General features: G+C 39.9%; 1 protein-coding gene across 8 annotated transcripts in view; it reads left to right on the top strand.

The window, feature by feature from the left end:
- POFUT3 (protein O-fucosyltransferase 3) overlaps positions 1–19144 on the top strand; it is a 165086-nt gene that overhangs the window by 94261 nt on the left and 51681 nt on the right. For 4 of the 8 annotated variants that reach the window (XM_011544677.4, XM_011544676.4, XM_047422325.1 and 1 more), the window contains one exon: positions 6082–6242. In XM_011544677.4, the coding sequence (XP_011542979.1) occupies positions 6082–6242 (161 nt within the window). Of the gene's footprint in view, positions 1–6081; positions 18048–19144 lie in introns of those variants that run through there. The other 4 variants (XM_047422326.1, XM_011544679.4, NM_032664.3 and 1 more) reach the window with 2 other exon arrangements.

The raw sequence follows: 19144 nt of genomic DNA, 5'->3' as shown, positions 1-19144 counted from the left end.
CAGGTTAGTCAAGAGTTGAGCTAGAGTTGGATTTTGTGTTGCTATTGTTACCTTTTGTGCTCCTCAGGTTTCAAACATTTCCAGTAATAATAATTATCCAGTGACTAAGCACTGCTATTGCCTATGTTTAAAGTGGGGCCTGGGGTGTTAAAGAGTTTTTCTCAGTATTTCTCCTCCACCCTCAGCTTTTAGCAATTCCTGCATTGCTATGCCACAGATGAGGTCTATTTTAATATTCTTGCTTCTCCCCACCAGCAAACTCCTGTTATTCATTCCTTAGCAGTAAACTTATGTTGGGAGTACGGCAGGTTCTTTGTTGTCTTCACAGCCTCAGGCAGGTTCTGGATTCCTGGGTCTCAGGGGTGAAGCTTTTCCAGTGTCCTTGCCTCTTCTTCTCTTGGCAGCCAAGCTCTGCCTTGTATCTGTGGTTAGTTGGAGGGAGAGTTTATGCCCCTCCCCAGTGGTGTAACTTCTGGTATCATGATAGGATTCTAGGCCCAAAATGGTTTCCATCCTGCACCCAACCATGAGAAAGAGGAGTTTTGCTTCTCCCTCTCCCCAAGAAGTAATAGATTTTTCCCTTGGATCTGGGAGCAGAAGCGTTTGCTACTGCTCCCGCAGTGGCTTAAGGCCTTTACATGTATGAGGAAAAGGTCTGGGGAGGGTGGAGAGGCTTCCTGAATTCCCCTAGCAGAGGAAGATCATCCACCACGCTGTGCCAAGGAGGGAGACTCTTTCCAATCCTGTGCTGCCCCCAATCTTCCTTTTGAGCATTTGATGGAGGTCCATAGAAAAGAGCTTTTGATGAGTTTGAACTCTCATTTTTGTATCTGGGCATCCCAGCTATTCCAGCTGATATGGTTACTCCACTTCTAAGAATTTATTAAAATTTTAACTGATTTCTTGTTACCTGTTTGTATGGTGATCACCTCTCTCTCCTGTGTTCTGCCAAAGGTGAAACAGATTATCCATCTTTCCTCAAAGGGGCTTTGTCACCCTCTGGAATTCAGTTCCCTGATGGGCTCAAGAAGTTATGAATTCAAGGATTATCTGTATTTTTCTCATTGCTAGGAACCACGTTCTCTTTGGAAACAAAATCTTTTAAAATCATACTTTAGAAACAGCTGGTTTTTCCGCACAAGACCTCAGCTGGAAAGGGATACTGAAACTTAAGTTACTTCTAAAACTGTCATAACTACTTCATCAGACACACTTCCTTTGGGTCATACTGTGAAATATTTCTGGCAGAATGTTAGAGTGGAAAGAGTTCATTTCATAAGATTCTTTTCTCTGTGATGTCACCTTGAGTTGGAACTTTATCCTACACTTGATGGGCTCCTCTCCTGAGTGGGAAGGCAAGGAAATAGGGTAATATTACTGACTTTCTCATATAAACCGTTATGCAAGGTCAGGGTTGGGAAGACCTTGGAAGGTTATGTGATCTGTACAATTACCAGCTGACTGGTGACTCGAGTATCATGAGCAAGCCATCCATTAATTTGTGCTGGGGCATTTTCAGTGTTGGTGATTTCATTATTTTTAAAGGTAGCTTATTTTATCTTTTGTTTGTTTTGACAAAAGATAAACAGAACATTTGGTTCTTTGTATTGAACTGAAACTTCCCCTTTTATAGTCAATTCTTTTTTTTTTTTTTGAGACAGAGTCTTGCACTGTTGCCTGGGCTGGAGTGCAATGGTGCGATCTCAGCTTACTGCAACCTCCGCCTCCCAGCTTCAAGTGATTCTCCTGCCTCAGCCTCCTGAGTAGCTGGGATTACAGGCATATGCCACCATGCCCAGCTAATTTGTTACATTTTTAGTAGAGATGGGGTTTCACTATGTTGGCCAGGCTGGTCTCGAACTCTTGACCTCGTGATCCACCCGCCTCAGCCTAATTGCTGAGATTACAGGTGTGAGCCAATGTGCCCGGCCTTTATAGTCAATTCTTAGCTACCTGCTCTGATTCCTCAGTTTGGCAGGATACAGTCTGGCATCTGTACCTACCAGCCAATAGAGGTGAACAGTGGCCTCTCAAAAGTTGAAAGTTGTTTTGCATCTCCTTACGTGATTTTGTTCTGTTCTTGCTTCAAATCCAGTCTCTATCCAACCATGAACTCTGGCTAATGTAATCACAATTTTGAGCCTACCTTTGGTCCTTTGAACTTGATATTCATAGATTTCCCAGATTTTGTCTTAGCATTCCTAATGGTTTGCAATTTCAATTTGCACTCTGCTTCTCTGTGCTTGGTAAAGAATTCCTGCTCAAGTTCTAGGCCCTTGGAAGTCAGACTTCATGATAATCCATCAGTGGTTCCCAAGAGAAAGGAGGACTTGGCCATCTCTATCCTTCACATTTTACCAAACAAGTTAATTCACACTTCCACTTATATAGTCCCTTCACTTGAAGGGACTTCTTTGCTTGAAGACAAACTCTGTTCACTCAAAGTCATCACCTCTTCACACTAAATACTCCTAGTATCTCCTCATATATTTCCTATGGGAGTTTTAAAGAAAAGAAAATATGTTGAGCCAATCATAAGTAGCACCCACATTTTTATATTTCCAACTGGTTTTTCTGCTATGCTTTCTAAATTTGGAATGGATGAAGATTCTAATCATTATAAACCTGACACATAATGGATTGTCTTCCCATTAAGACAGTTTTTTTTTTAAGAAAAATATATACATGCATATAGGTTGAAGAATCAAATATTTCTACAAAGTTAATTAACAAAAACAGCAGTCTTCCACTTCTTTTCCCTTTTCTGTCCTTCCCAGAAGCAACCACAATATTTAGCTAATTATTTAACTATTTTGGTATTTACCCAATGTTTCTGTTTCTTTTCCTGTTGTTTTTTTTTTTTCTTTTTGAGATGGAGTCTCACTCTCTCACCCAGGCTGGTGTGCAGTGGCATGATCTTGGCTCACTGTAACCTCTGTCTCCTGGGTTCAAGCGATTCTCCTGCCTCATCCTCCTGAGTAGCTGGGATTACAGGCACGCGCCACCACACCCGGCTCATTTTTGTATTTTTGGTAAAGACAGGGTTTCACCATGTTGGCCAGGCTGGTCTCTAACTCCTGACCTCAGGTGATCCACCTGCCTTGGCCTCCGAAAGTGCTGGGATTACAGGAATGAGCCACCACACCTGGCCTATTTACTCTATGTTTCTAAGTAACACATTTACATAGTATTCTTTTTATATTCAGTGTTTGAATATAACTGTGTGACTGTTATTAAAAAATAAACCATGTAGTACACTATCATTTTCCCCCTTACATATACAGTTTTTTGTTTCTTTCCCAGGTAATAATTGCATCTTTATTTGATTATTTTTCCATGTACCTGTCAGTCATTCAGTCTTTGTTGATTGTTTAACTCTCCTCTGAAGATGTTGAGATATGGCAGGCATCCAGCTCTCTTGATCTTATGGAAGGGATCTCTCCCGGAGCCTCTGACCCACTCCTATCTGTGCTCATTGTCCTCTACCTTAGTGTGGAGCAGCAGCCTGAGATGTCACTTCCCCAGCATTTTGGGAATTTTCTTTCTTTTCTTTTTTTCTCTTCTGTTGACATCTGTTTCCTGCATGCTATGTCTCCTGTTTTCTTAGTTTATTCTCTTGTTTTGGTTGATCATACTCTCCAGTCGCTTCCTGAGAAGAGGTACATGCAAGAATGTGTGAAAATGTCTTCATTTCAGCTGAGCACGGTGGCTCGTGCCTGTACTCCCAGCACTTTGGGAGGCTGAGGCAGGTGGATCACCTGAGGTCAGGATTTCAAGACCAACCTGGACAACATGGTGAAACCCCGTCTCTACTAAAAATAAAAAAAAATAAAAAAAATTAGCTGGACATAGTGGCAGGCACCTGTAATCTCAGCTACTTGGGAGGCTGAGGCAGGAGAATCACTGGAACCCAGGAGGTGGAGGTTGCAGGTTGCAGTGAGCTGAGATCATGCCACTGCACTCCAGCCTGGGAGACAAAGCGAGATTCTGTCTCAAAAAAAAAAAAAGAAAAGAAAAGAAAAAAAAGAAAATGTCTTCATTCTACCCTAAATTTAAGCAATAGGTTAGCTGACTGTAAACCACTAAAATGGACATTCATTTTTCTCAGAATTTTGAAGGTATTTTGCCATTGTCTTTTACTAAAAACACTTTTAATTTTTTTTACAGAATATTTTAAAGATAGTTCAGAGTTCTGTATGCCTTTTCCCTGGCTTCCCCTCATGCTATCATTTTATGTAACTGTGGTACATTTGTCACCAATAAGAAATTCATATTGGCACATTACTGCTTGCTAAACTGCAGAGTCTAGTCATATTTCTCTTTAGTCATATTTGGCCATATTTCTGTAACATCCTCTGTCTGCGCTAGGATCAAATTCGGGATACCAGGCTGTAATTAAACCATCACGTTTCATTAGTCTCCTCCAGTCTGGACAGTTGCTCAAGCTTTTTCTTATTTTTAATAACTTTTGAAGAGTACTGGTCAGTATTTTGTAGAATGTCCCTTCATACGGTTTGTCTAATGTCTTCTCATGTTAACACTTGGGTTATGGATTATGGGGAATAATACCACAGAGGTAAACGTGTTCTCATTGCATCCTATTAGGGCAGCTGTTCCTAACCTTTTTGGCACCAGAGACCTATTTTGTGGGAGACAATTTTTCCACAGACCGGTAGGTGGGTGGGGGATTAGATGTTTATAAGGAGTGAGCAAGCTGGATTCCTCACATGTGCAGTTCACAATAAGGTTCACCCTCTTAGGAGAATCTAATGTTGCTGATGATCTGACAGGAGGCAGAGCTCAGACGGCAATGCTCACATGCATGCTGCTCACCTCCTGCTCTGCAGCCCGGTTCCTAACAGGCCAGGGAACAGTACTGGTTCATGACCCGGGAGTTGAGGACCCCTGTATCAGGGGATGCATTATACCAACATAACGTATAACTGGTAATGTTAACTTTGATTGCTTGGTTCAGGTGGTATGTGCTAGGTTTTCCCACTGTGAAGTTGCTAATTTTCCTATTCTTCTATGTTTTGTTACTCTTCTGCCCTCTTCCATTCTCCCAATTCTTACAGGTTAATGCCTTTCAAGAACAGTCCTTTTACTCTCATTTTAATGGTGTTTCTGGAGGAAATGAAATTGGATATGTGTGTTCACTCTGTTATCCTGGAGTTTTTCTGTCTCTCCTCTTTCTCTTTTACTTTTCTTTTTCTTTTCTCCCTTTCTCCCTTCTAAATTATTGGAAGGTCAAATCCTGAACATGTAGGCCATTTTAAGGACTTGGACTTGAACTTGGAATGAGAAGGGCTGCCGAGTGTAGCCTGCAGAGGATCAGAAGTGGAATCAAGGGGTTAGTTAGGAGACCATGGAAATAAGCCAAGACTGAGCGTGGACCAAGCTCATTGCAGCATTTTGAAGCTGGGAGGTATTATGCCAATGTCAGGTACCATTATTGTTGGGTGGAAACATCTTAGTACTGGGGACAGTTGAGTGCAGTGGAAATATATTAAAAACAGGGATTAGTTGTAATATGTGACAACATAGATAGATGTAAAAACAGTGCTTGGTGAAAAGTAGCAAACAAATGAGACATACAATAACATATAAGTATATTAAAAATAAATGCCCAGAGATTGAGAACACATTTTGCAATGAGTATTCGAATACGCTTACATGCAAATACAAAGAACTGTGTTAAACATCTTAAAATATTTGCCTATGGGGAGGAGGATAGGGGTGGGATAATAGGGGGAAAAGGAATAAACAAATCAACAGATAAATAACCAGAGGGAGGGGAAGGCTTTAGAATCTAAAGAGAACTATATTCGATCTTAAGTATATACTGTTTGGGGCAATTTATGTAACTTTTTTGTGGTTTAGTTTCCACTCCTGTAAAATGGGGTAGTAGCACCTATTCAATATGCTTACCATAAGAATTAAGTGAGGCAATATGTGAGATGCTTTCTTTCCCCTTTAGCTCCATGGAGTAAAGCTGTTGTTTTAAGGAAAGTCTGTTGCTTTAAGGGAATTGTGCTTCATTATCATATGTTTTTAATTCATTTCTCTTTTCTCTTCCTGCAGGGCTTACCACCCAAAAGATGGGAGGCAGAAGATACCCACCTGAGTTGCCCAGAGCCCACAGTGTTTGCTTTCTCACCACTCCGGACTCCACCTTTGAGCTCTTTGCGAGAGATGTGGATTTCCAGCTTTGAACAATCCAAGAAAGAAGCCCAGGCACTAAGGTGGCTGGTTGATAGGAATCAAAACTTTTCATCTCAAGAGTTTTGGGGCCTAGTATTCAAGGACTGATTTCAAAAATGATCAGAATGAAACAGACTAGAGCCTTCTTGAGGTTTATTTTCTAGGTTGCCTTAATATTTGAACATAATAGCTATTCTGTTGACTATCCATCAGGATAATAATTAGTTGCTGCAGTACTCATAATGAGCCCTTTCAAGGAATAGATGTAAATTACCCTTAGGGGTAGCCACTATATTTTTTATACTAAAAAAGGAAATATTTCTTATGGACACTGGTTATCTTCCATGTCCGTGTCTGTGGACCCACATACTTACTGCCTTTTGTGGAAATTCACCTAGAGTGAGTACTTTCCTTGTGCAATGGAGGGAGACGATCTAGCTATAGATTCTTGATACTCACCTCACTCTCAACAGCTTATTGGTATTTGGCAAACCTGGTATCCTGCAGCCGAGCATGAACATGAAATACATTAGAACTTGGCAATGAGAGATCCCATCTGTTGGTTTCCAGGGATGTAAGTGAGTAATAAAAGCTGTTTCAAGTTTATCCACTATCCACTCTTCAAGTGAAAAGAACTTATGTGTGTCTACCTTCTTCTCCATACCCTGAGCCACCTCTCTCACTTTCTTTAGTTGTGCCTTGCCCTATCGCCTCCCATTTTCCCTTCAAAGTAGAATGTCTTGTAAAGACACAGTAACTCCTGTGTGTTTTGATTAGTGAGATGTTACCACTTACCCCTTCTGCTGCGCAGAATAATATTAAGAATTGCTATGCTTATGATTCAGGCTGGACAGCCTGGACATTTTGAGCAGCGCGAGAGTAGAAGTGAATACCCCCAGGAACTCCAATTGTGCTGAAGCTGATTTGTCTGTTCGTAGGATGATGTGCAGCCTGTCACAGTGGCAGCCACAGGCATTCAGTTTGTGGGCATTTCCTGTCATTTCGGATCCTGCTATAGGGAAGGTTCAGCTCTCCTGTCTGGGGCATCTACTGGAGCACCTCAGAAGACAAGGAGGAAAACACTGGCTCATGTTTTCTTTCCATGTGAGGGAGGGGAGGTTTCTAGATGATACTAAAAGCCTGTTGCCACTGTTGTGTCATGATTTCCATTCTTCATCATGGAAAGCCACAAGCCTCAGAAGGCAGCCAGAGGACAGGAAGAGTCTGTGATGCTCATGTCTGTGTCATGGCATGAGGGGGAATTGACGAGTGCTTGCTTAGCATCAGCTCTCATTGTATTGAAGGCTGTGCCCTTGGTGTGCTTAGCAGTGAGCAGCGTCTTCATTAGGTAGCTCTGGCTGGGCTTTGTCAGCCAGCGTGTGAGAAAGGAGAACCAAAACCAATACCTCCTTATAGAAGCCAGAAGGATCACATTGGATGAGAGAAGGTGTCTATAACTGGGTTCTTCCCAATCCCAGCTCTTTCATTAACTAAATATGATCTTGGACATATCTCTTAACCTCCATCGGCCTTAGTTTTTGCATCCAAAAAGAAGTGATTGGGCTGGTCTTGGAAGGTTTTTTTCTTTTTTTTCCCCTGTGTAACATTCTTCATTGTTCATCAACATTTAAGAAATTTAATTTTGTAGATGTTTTTACTAAAGAGGGTAACAAACTATTTTGGAACTGCTGTATGTTATTCAAGGGAAGCACGCTGTTTGGAGGAAGGAGCATACTTAATGGGTAGTATTGAGGATGAAAGGGAATTTCTCTCTCTGCCATTTTATTTGATAATATTAAAGAAATAAAGACTGGAAAGGGGGATTCCTTGTTAAAGGTCAGATTTTAAATTGCATATAAAATGAAGTGAGTTGTGTTTTTTTGAACCCTCAAAAGAAAGCCTGAGAGGTGATTTATGCCTCTGGCAAGGTATTATCATGATAACTTCAGTTCTTCTCCATAAATGCCTTCAGCAAATACCCAGTGCTTATGTGCTGTGTGTATGTCTTAAACCTTAACTTTCATGAAATCTCATTCCATCTTAGTTCTTCATCAAGTCCATAGATAAAATCCTCTCTAAGCGTTTCTGAAGTATGTATCCCTGAACAAATTTAGTGAAATAAAATCATTAATCTGTGTTGATCCCATTTTGCCATACCTTTCACTTTACCTCACTGTCTCCTTTTGTGAAATATTTTAAGAAAGCAACGTCCCTCACAGGACTGTTTTGAGGAATGCCTCATGGCTGTGAAGGAGTTTGTACAATGCAACATTTTGCTTAGCCCTTCAGTACATTTTACTTGGATTGTTTTCAAGAACTTTATTTTTTTTGAGAAGAAGTCTTGCTCTATCACCTAGGCTGGAGTGCAGTGGTGCGATCTCAGCTCACTGCAACCTCCACCTCCTGGGTTCAAGCGATTCTTCTGCCTCAGCCTCCCAAGTAGCTGGGATTACAGGCACCTGCCACCAGGCCTGGACAATTTTTTTTTTTTTTTTTTTTTTTTTTTTTTTTTTTTAGTAAAGATGGGGTTTCAGCATATTGGCCAGGCTGGTCTTGAATTCCTGCCCTTAAGTGACCCACCCACCTCGGCCTCCTAAAGTGCTGGGATTATAGGCCTGAGCCACTGCGCCTGGCCATTCAATGACTAATTTTTAAAAGCAATATTACAAAGTGGTCAGAAGCCTTTTCAGAAATGTTGGAGAAAATGATCACTAATGCTAGTTAATAGTCTTCGCCTAAAAATGAATGCAACTTTTACCCTTGATCATATAGCAAATATATTTTGGAACCTGAATGCTGAATGGCTTCTTTGTTGCTGTTAAGGACTAGATTCTAGTAACCAGAATATCAGTTGGGGTCATTATCATTGTTAGTAATAGATTGGAAACATATAGTGTTCTATGCATTACTCAGAAATAAGAGACATAAGCAAAAATGAACATCATTCCTTCAGCCACACATTGTATATTACACATAGAAGAACCTGCTCAATATCTATAAAAGACTGTATGAATTCAAGCACAGTGCCGACCTGCCCAGTAAAATGCCCAGTAAAATGTGCATTAAAAAAGTCATTAATAGGACATAAGTCCTGCTAAAGATGGCAATTCATTAGGACCTCAGGCTGCTGTAACAGAATACGATAGACTGGGTGGCTTATAAGAAACAGAAGTTTATTGCTCACAGTTCTGGAGCAAAATATAAATTATGGAAATTTTCTTTAGGAAATTTCTTTCTTTTAATTTTTATTGTTAATGGTAATATCTTTACTGTGTAATTCTAATATCAGCATATATCTTGTTGTCTTTGATTACAGACATAAAAATGCTTGAAAAACTCAAAGGGGATATAGAATGATGACTCTAAGAAATAATCTAGTTTTAGTTGCTACTCTGCAACATACTGTCTTTATTATCTTGGTCAAGTTATATGGCCTTTCTAAGATTCAGCTTGCTCATCTGTAAAATGGATGTTATAATATCCAACCTCCTTGTGAGGTTATTGTGATGAGCTAGTGTTCACTTTGCTCAATAGATGCTTGTTGTAGTGGTTACAGCTATCTGTGGTCATTACCCTTTGTGTTTGAAGAGCTTGACTGAGATTTGTCCAGAAAAAGGGAATCGTTGATGATAGTACCTGGGGTGGTACACATTTATTGTGTTACAAAATAGGCATTGTACTAGGCGCCATTGCTGATAGGAATAAGACACAGGAGAGAGAGGTGTGAAGGGTTTTGAGTAGGGCTTTTTGATATTATGATGGTATTAAAACCAAGGACTGAGGAATGCTTAAATTATTCTCTGACTCTTCCCACCCTCCATGGGATTTCTGGTGGAGTCTTGCACAAAGCTCTCAATAGGATAATCAGACTCAAACAGCCTCTTTATAGTAGCTTTGCAAACCACATAAATGCAGTACACTGATTGATTGTATAAGCTGGATCTGAGCATATTATTTAGATTTGAAGTGTAACTAGGAGAGGATCTTTTACTGCCTTTCCATTTCCCAATTCTGAATCTTGGGACTAGTCTATTCAATGTGCTTGCAATAAGAAAGAGGAGAGAAAAATGCCTAGATCTGTAGGTCTTGACCCTGCTTGCTCATACTGAAGATCAACTGAAGAAGGAGAAGAAGAGGAGCCTGAGCAGCCTTTCTCCTAGGAGACAAGCCCTCTCTTGCTGTCCATGTGATATGGATGCAAGAATATGGAGTACAATGCATGGGAGCTTACTTTTAAGTCATATTAACCTTTTTCACTAGTAAAATGTGGCCTCATCTATATCCTGGGATTAAACCAATTAATTTAGCAACACCATTGGTGCTGGTAGTAGGCCCAATTAAGGAGATCGGCAAGGGATAGAGGTGTTTGAGGAGAAGTGACTCTTTAGGATTATTGTCCTCTCGAGTCATTGGACTTAACAGCCAAGCCTCTGGTCAGTCAGAGGTGTGGCTGTATCCCAAAGAGGATATGACCAGTCATGACCAGCAGATACCTTCTTTTATCTTCCTGAGGCTTCTTCTCTGCTATATACCCTTGCCCCTTTGTATCCTCCTGGAACAGTGACATGAGCAGTTAAATTACTGTCTCTAAGCCTCTGAAATGAGTCAGAACTGGAATTGATTAATGCCTCCAAGGGCATTTTGAGCATTAGGTCAAAAATTTATTGTTTATTTTATTTCCCATGCAAACCATAACCACATCATCCAACCCAGCTTACCAGAGAAGATGATTCAACTAGCCCAAATAGGCCATTATGAATATTTGAAAATTTAAGCTTCTAAATTAAAAAAAACTGATTATGAAAGTAATTATATTTAAAAACCATTACTGTATGTAGGGGGTAATATTAATGCTTTTGGGTCAGGATATTATCCCAAGAACTTTTGGAATGAATGTAACGTAAGTTGCTTCTTATATAAATGGAGTAAATTCATCTGATGAGTCCACTCATGGGGAAAAAAAAAAGCCAGTTTTACATAAGAATGCCCTTAGTGAAGCAATAAAAATGATGAATTTTATTAAATCTTGACCTTTAAGTGCATGTCTTTTATTTATTTATTTATTTGCCAAGACCAGCTTGTTTGGGGAGACCCTAACCCAGCAGCACTAGAGGAATTAAAGACACACACACAGAAATATAGAGGTGTGAAGTGGGGAAATCAGGGGTCTCACAGCCTTCAGAGCTGAGAGCCCCAAACAGAGATTTACCCACGTATTTATTAACAGCAAGCCAGTCATTAGCATTGTTTCTATAGATATTAAATTAACTAAAAGTATTCCTTACGGGAAACGAAGGGATGGGCCGAATTAAAGGAATAGGTTGGGGTAGTTAACTGCAGCAGGAGCATGTCCTTAAGGCACAGATCGCTCATGCTATTGTTTGTGGCTTAAGAATGCCTTTAAGCGGTTTTCTGCCCTGGGCGGACCAGGTGTTCCTTGCCATCATTCCGGTAAGCCCACCACCTTCCAGCGTGGGCGTTATGGCCATCATGAACATGTCACAGTGCTGCAGAGATTTTGTTTATGGCCAGTTTTGCGGCCAGTTTATGTCCAGATTTTGGGGGACTTGTTCCCAACATTTATTTATTTATTTTTATTTTTTGGTAGAGACAGGGCTTCTCCTTGTTGGCCAGGCTGGTCTCGACCTCCTGACCTCAGGTGATCCACCCACCTTGGCCTCCCAAAGTACTAGGATTACAGGCATGAGCCACCATGTTCGGCCAGTGCATGTCTTTTTAATATTCTGTGTGACAAAAATAAGAGTAAAATACCTGTGCTACACATCATAGTATAACAGGAGTCTCACAGTGCTTGTGTGATTGAGTTGTGAGCTGAACTTGCTGCTTTTTCCATGGAATACTATTTTTACTTAAAAAAATCTGACAAACTATGCTTACTCTGTCTTGTGTTTTTGTCAACAATTTTTGTGAAAACAAAGTGAGCCTGTCACTTTAAGAGACAGAATTTGTTGCCAATGATAAAAATCTCAGCTTTCAAGCGAAAAGTGAAATTTTGGAAAACGAATATCCACCACATTGAGCTTGACAACTTTGCAATACTTAAAAGACTTTCCTGAGGAGATTGGTGGTAATATTAACAAATGTTACTGTTGACACTGAATAAATGCAGAAATAATGACATGGAATAATGTTTTTAGTTTGTTTATCATTTGTTTTTATAATTCTAAAGAAGGAAGTGTTAAGTACTGGAGACAGCAATTTTTACAAGTTAAATACTTTTTTTTTTTAGTTGAAAAGTTCTACAAGTGAAGTTTCTTTAATATACTTTGAGTTCTAGGGTACATGTACACAACGTGCAGGTTTGATACATAGGTATACATGTGCCATGTTGGTTTGCTGCACGCATCAACTCATCATTTACACTAGATATTTCTCCTAATGCTATCCCTCCCACAGCCTCCCATCCCCGACAGGCCCTGGTGTGTGATGTTCCCTGCCCTATGTCTAAGTGATCTCATTGTTCAATTCCCACCTATGGGTGAGAACATGCAGTGTTTGGTTTTCTGTCCTTGTGATAGTTTGCTGAGAACGATGGTTTCCAGCTTTGTCCATGTCCCTGCAAAGGACATGAACTCATCCTTTTTTATGGCTGCATAGTATTCCATGGTGTATACGGTGCCACAGTTTCTTAATCCAGTCTATCATTGATGGACATTTGGGTTGGTTCCAAGTCTTTGCTATTGTGAATAGTGCCACAATAAACATACATGTGCCTGTGTCTTTATAGCAGCATGATTTATAATCCTTTGGGTGTATACCCAGTAATGGGATGGCTGGGTCAAATGGCAATTCTAGTTCTGGATCCTTGAGGAATTGCCACACTGTCTTCCACAATGGTTGAACTAATTTACACTCCCACCAACAGTGTAAAAGCATTCCTATTTCTCCACATCCTCTTCAGCATCTGTTGTTTCCTGACTTTTTAATGATCGCCATTCTAACTGGCATGAGATGGTATCTCATTGTGGTTTTGATTTGCATTTCTCTGATGACCAGTGATGATGAGCATTTTTTCATGTGTCTGTTGGCTGCATAGATGTCTTCTTTTGAGAAGTGTCTGTTCATATCCTTTGTCCACTTTTTGATGGGGTTGTTTTTTTCTTGTAAATTTGTTTGAGTTCTTTATAGATTCTGGATATTCGCCCTTTGTCAGAAGGGTAGATTGCAAAAATTTTCTCCCATTCTGTAGGTTGCCTGTTCACTCTAATGGTAGTTTCTTTTGCCATGCAGAAGCTCTTTAGTTTAATTAGATTCCATTTGTCTATTTTGGCTTTTGTTGCCATTGCTTTTAGCGTTTTAGTCATGAAGTCCTTGCCCATGCGTATGTCCTGAATGGTATTGCCTAGGTTTTTTTCTAGGGTTTTTATGGTTTTAGGTCTAACATTTAAGTCTTCAATCCATCTTGAATTAATTTTTGTATAAGGTGTAAGGAAGGGATCCAGTTTCAGCTTTCTACATATAGCTAGCCAGTTTTCCCAGCACCATTTATTAAATAGGAAATCCTTTCCCCATTTCTTGTTTTTGTCAGGTTTGTCAAAGATCAGGTGATTGTAGATGTGTGGTGTTATTTCTGAGGCCTCTGTTCTGTTCCATTGGTCTATATATCTGTTTTGGTACCAGTACCATGCTGTTTGGTTACTATAGCCTTGTAGTATAGTTTGAAGTCAGGTAGCATGATGCCTCCAGCTTTGTTCTTTTGGCTTAAGATTGTCTTGGCAATGTGGGCTCTTTTTTGGTTCCATATGAAATTTAAAGTCGGTTTTTCCAATTCTGTGAAGAAAGTCATTGGTAGCTTGATGGGGATGGCATTGAATCTATAAATTACTTTGGGTGGCCATTTTCACGCTATTGATTCTTCCTATCCATGAGCATGGAATATTCTTCCATTCGTTTGTGTCCTCTTTTATTTCATTGAGCAGTGGTTTGTAGTTCTCCTTGAAGAGGTCCTTCACATCCCTTTTAAGTTGGATTCCTAGGTATTTTAGTCTCTTTGTAGCAATTGTGAATGGGAGTTCACTCATGATTTGTCTGTCTGTTAATGGTGTGTAGGAATGCTTGTGATTTTTGCACATTGATTTTGTATCCTGAGACTTTGCTGAAGTTGCTTATGAGCTTAAGGAGATTTTGGGCTGAGACGATAGGGTTTTCTAAATATACAATCATGTCATCTGCAAACAGGGAAAATTTGACTTCCTCATTTCCTAATTGAATACCCTTTATTTCTTTCTCTTGCCCGATTGCCCTGGCCAGAACTTCCAACAGTATATTGAATAGGAATGGTGAGAGAGGGCATCCTTGTCTTGTGCCCATTTTCAAAGGGAATGCTTCCAGTTTTTGCCCATTCAGTATGATATTGGCTGTGGGTTTGTTATAAATAGCTCTTATTATTTTGAGATACATTCCATCAATACCTAGTTTATTGAGAGTTTTTAGCATGAAGGGCTGTTGAATTTTGTCAAAGGCCTTTTCTGCATCTATTGCAATAATCATGTGGTTTTTTGTCGTTGGTTCTATTTATGTGATGGATTATGTTTATTGATTTGTGTATGTTGAACCAGCCTAGCATCCCAGGGATGAAGCCAACTTGATCATGGTGGATAAGCTTTTTGATATGCTGCTGGATTCGGTTTGCCAGTGTTTTATTGAGGATTTTCGCATCAGTGTTCATCAGGGATATTGGTCCAAAATTTTCTTTTTTTGTTGTGTCTCTGCCAGGCTTTGGTATCAGGATGATGTTAGCCTCATAAAATGAGTTAGGGAGGATTCCCTCTTTTTCTATTGATTGGAATAGTTTCAGAAGGAATGGTACTAGCTCCTCCTTGTACCTCTGGTAGAATTCGGCTGTGAATCCATCTGGTCCTGGACTTTTTTTGGTTGGTAAGCTATTAATTATTGCCTCAATTTCAGAGTCTGTTAATGGTCTATTCAGAGATTCAGCTTCTTCCTGGTTTAGTCTTGGGAGGGTGTATGTGTCCAGGAATTTATCCATTTCTTCTAGATTTTCTAGTTTATTTGCATAGAGGTGTTTATAGTATTCTCTGATGGTAGTTGGTATTTCTGTGGGATCGGTGGTGATATCCCCTTTATCATTTTTTATTGCGTCTATTTGATTCTTCTCTCTTTTCTTCTTTATTAGTCTTGCTAGCAGTCTATCAATTTTGTTGATCTTTTCAAAAAACCGGCTTCTGAATTCATTGATTTTTTGAAGGGTTTTTTGTGTCTCTATCTTCTTCAGTTCTGCTCTGATCTTAGTTGTTTCTTGCCTTCTGCTAGTTTTTGAATTTGTTTGCTCTTGCTTCTCTAGTTGTTTTAATTGTGATGTTAGGGTGTCGATTTTAGATCTTTCCTGCTTTCTCTAGTGGGCATTTAGTGATATAAATTTCCCTCTACACACTGCTTTAAATGTGTCCCAGAGATTCTGGTACGTTGTGTCTTTGTTCTCATTGGTTTCCAAGAACATCTTTATGTCTCCCTTCATTTTGTTATTTAACCAGTAGTCATTCAGGAGCAGATTGTTCAGTTTCCATGTAGTTGTGCGGTTTTGAGTGAGTTTCTTAATCCTGAGTTCTAATTTGATTGCACTGTGGTCTGAGAGACAGTTTGTTGTGATTTCTGTTCTTTTACATTTGCTGAGGAGCTTTACTTCCAATTATGTGGTCAGTTTTAGAATAAGCATGATGTGGTGCTGAGAAGAATGTATATTCTGTTGATTTGGGGTGGAGATTTCTGTTGATGTCTATTAGGTCTGCTTGGTGCAGAGCTGAATTCAAGTCCTGGATATCCTTGTTAACCTTCTGTCTCATTGATCTGTCTAATATTGAGAGTGGGGTGTTACACTCTCCCATTATTATTGTGTGGGAGTCTAAGTCTCTTCGTAGGTCTCTAAGGACTTGCTTTATGAATCTGGGTGCTCCTGTATGGGGTGCATATATATTTAGGATAGTCAGCTCTTCTTGTTGAATTGATCCCTTTACCATTATGTAATGGCCTTTTTTGTCTCTTTTGATCTCTGTTGGTTTAAAGTCTGTTTTATCAGAGACTAGGATTGCAACCCCTGGTTTTTTTTTTTGCTTTCCATTTGCTTGATAGATCTTCTTCCATCCCTTTATTTTGAGTCCATGTGCATCTTTGCACGTGAGACGGGTCTCCTGAATACAGCACACTGATGGGTCTTGACTCTATCCAATTTGCCAGTCTGTGTCTTTTAATGGGGGCATTTAGCCCATTTATATTTAAGGTTAATATTGTTATGTTTAAATTTGATCTTGTCATTATGATGTTCGCTGGTTATTTTGCCTGTTAATTGATACAGTTTCTTCATAGCATTGGTGGTCTTTACAATTTGGCCTTTTTTTTCCCGTGGCTTGTACGGGTTGTTTCTTTCCATGTTTAGTGCTTCCTTCAGGCGCTCTTGTAAGGCAGGCCTGGTGGTGACAAAATCTCTCAGCATTTGCTTGTCTGTAAAGGACTTTATTTATCCTTCACTTATGAAGCTTAGTTTGGCTGGATATGAAATTCTGGGTTGAAAATTCTTTTCTTTAAGAATGTTGAATATTGGCCCATACTCTCTTCTGGCTTGTAGGGTTTCTGCCGATAGATCTGCTGTTAGTCTGATGGGCTTCCCTTTGTGCATAACTCAACCTTTCTCTCTAGCTGCCCTTAACACTTTTTCCTTCATTTCAAGTTTGGTGAATCTGACAATTACGTGTCTTGGGACTGCTCTTAAGTGAAGATTTTAAAAATCATTTTTTTTTAAATTTGAAAATTGGAATAAGATAAAAGATAACCACAGCTATCGATCAATGAGTGAAAAGAAGTCTTGGTTTTTCAATTGGGAAACACGGAAAAAAATGTATTCAGGAACATGAAAAATGCCTTAAAAACCTATCAAGGAAATTATGATTATTTTGCATTACTCAGAATATTAAACTGCCTGAAATTTGTTAACGTATTCTATATATTTTTATTGAGCATTTACTATGTGCCAGGAATTATTTTGGGCAAATGGGATATAGCAATGAATGGAAGTCACAAAATTGCTGCCACCACAGGGCTTACATTCTAATTCTAGTGTGGAATTATAACAGAAATGCTTTAGCAAAATGTAAACCACTTCAAGGAAGCTTTTATTTCTCTGTTTTGTGGACGCCTCATATGATAGAATTTACCTCGTGAATCTCTGTCACTCTATTTGAAACATGAAATGTGATACAAGTGGATTGTATTTATAGAGTATATTAAATGGGCTATATTATTAATGAGATGTGTTAAAAGTACTAAAAGTTCACATTTGAAGTGAGCTGGCAAGTCCAGAATAAGTCCTTTTAATTTTTATACCAGTGTTTATTCCTGTTCCCCGGGAGAGGAGGCATTTTTTTCTGTCAACACTGGGCGATTTAAGAACTGACTTGGGGGATGAAAATAACTATGGTGAGTCCACAGGGGCAAACAGTTCTGCTCCAGCCAATCCACATCTGTTCACCTTAAGTAGAGAGGCTGGGGTGAGTCAATATTTACTCAGCCTCAGTGCCTCAGAAAAGGTGATGAATTTTATCTTATGAGCTGCTTTCAGTCATCATGTATATAGTTCACACACCATTAATAAGAAGACTCATTCACCATGGAAATAATCTGCTAGTCTGAGAGAATGTTGGTCCCTAAGACAAGCATCTTGAAGTATCAAAGTTTCATCACAGATGTTTACTACTTCCTGTTTCTGTGGTCTAAAATTCACCTCAAATGTGTAGTTAACCTGTAAGTGATGAACCACTTCCATCACTTCCGCAATAAAATTAAAACGTGTCTGCTGGGGCACCCCCTCCCCATTTGTTTGCTTGTGTGTTTATTTTTGCAGTGACTCTAGGGCTGCCATTGAAGACACATTTTTGTAGCCTTTATTCAGAAAGACCATGCAGCTCTCTGTGCCTTTTAGCAGGATACGTTTTCTGGAAAGAATAAAACAGTAGGTAGAGGGACCTTATAATTTATCATCCAAGTTGGGGCACTCTGAGAGTGGAAGAGGCGCTATTGGTTAAGCCAGAATAATAGGCATAAACTGGGATGTGTGGTCACTTGAGCTATAGGGGGTGTAGGGGAGGAAAAGGTGTTTCAGTACCACTATGTTCAGAAACATTCTCTGGTGATGGGATCCTTGGATAAGAAAAAAGTTTCCTGATATTTATTTATTTATTTTATTTTTATTTTTATTTATATTTTTTGAGATGGAGTCTCACTCTATTGCCCAGGCTGGAGCGCGGTGGCACCATCTCGGCTCACTGCAAGCTCCGCCTCCTGGGTTCAAGTGATTCTCCTGCCTTAGCCTCCCAAGTAGCTGGAACTACAGGCACCCGCCACCACGCCCGGCTAATTATTTTTGTATTTTTAGCAGAGATGGGGTTTCACCATGTTAGCCAGAATGGTCTCGATCTCCTGACCTCACGATCCGCCTGCCTCGGCCTCCCAAAGTGGTGGGATTACAGGTGTGAGCCACCACATCTGGCCGGTTACTGATATTTATTAAGGGTCCCCTGTGTGCCAGGTACTTTGCTGGATTCTGTCATATATAATGGCACTTATCGGACACAATTACCATTTGAGGTAGATAGTTTGTTTTGTTTTTTGTTGTTGTTTTGTTTGTTTGTTTGGTTTGGTTTTTTTTGAGATGGAGTCTTGCTCTTTTGCCCAGGCTGGAGTCCAGTGGCGTGATCTCAGCTCACTGCAACCTCCGCCTCCCGGGTGTAAGCAATTCTCTTGTCTCAGCCTCCTGAGGAACTGGGATTACAGGTGTGTGCCATCAAGCCTGGCTAATTTTTGTATTTTTAGTAGAGATGGGGTTTCACCATGTTGGCCAGGCTGGTCTCAAACTCCTGACCTCAGGTGATCTGCCCACCTCGGCCTCCCAAAGTGCTGGGATTATAGGTGT

Source organism: Homo sapiens, chromosome 8, assembly GCF_000001405.40.
Source record: "Homo sapiens chromosome 8, GRCh38.p14 Primary Assembly".
Classification (NCBI taxonomy): domain Eukaryota; kingdom Metazoa; phylum Chordata; class Mammalia; order Primates; family Hominidae; genus Homo; species Homo sapiens.
This window is presented reverse-complemented; position numbering and strand designations above follow the sequence as displayed.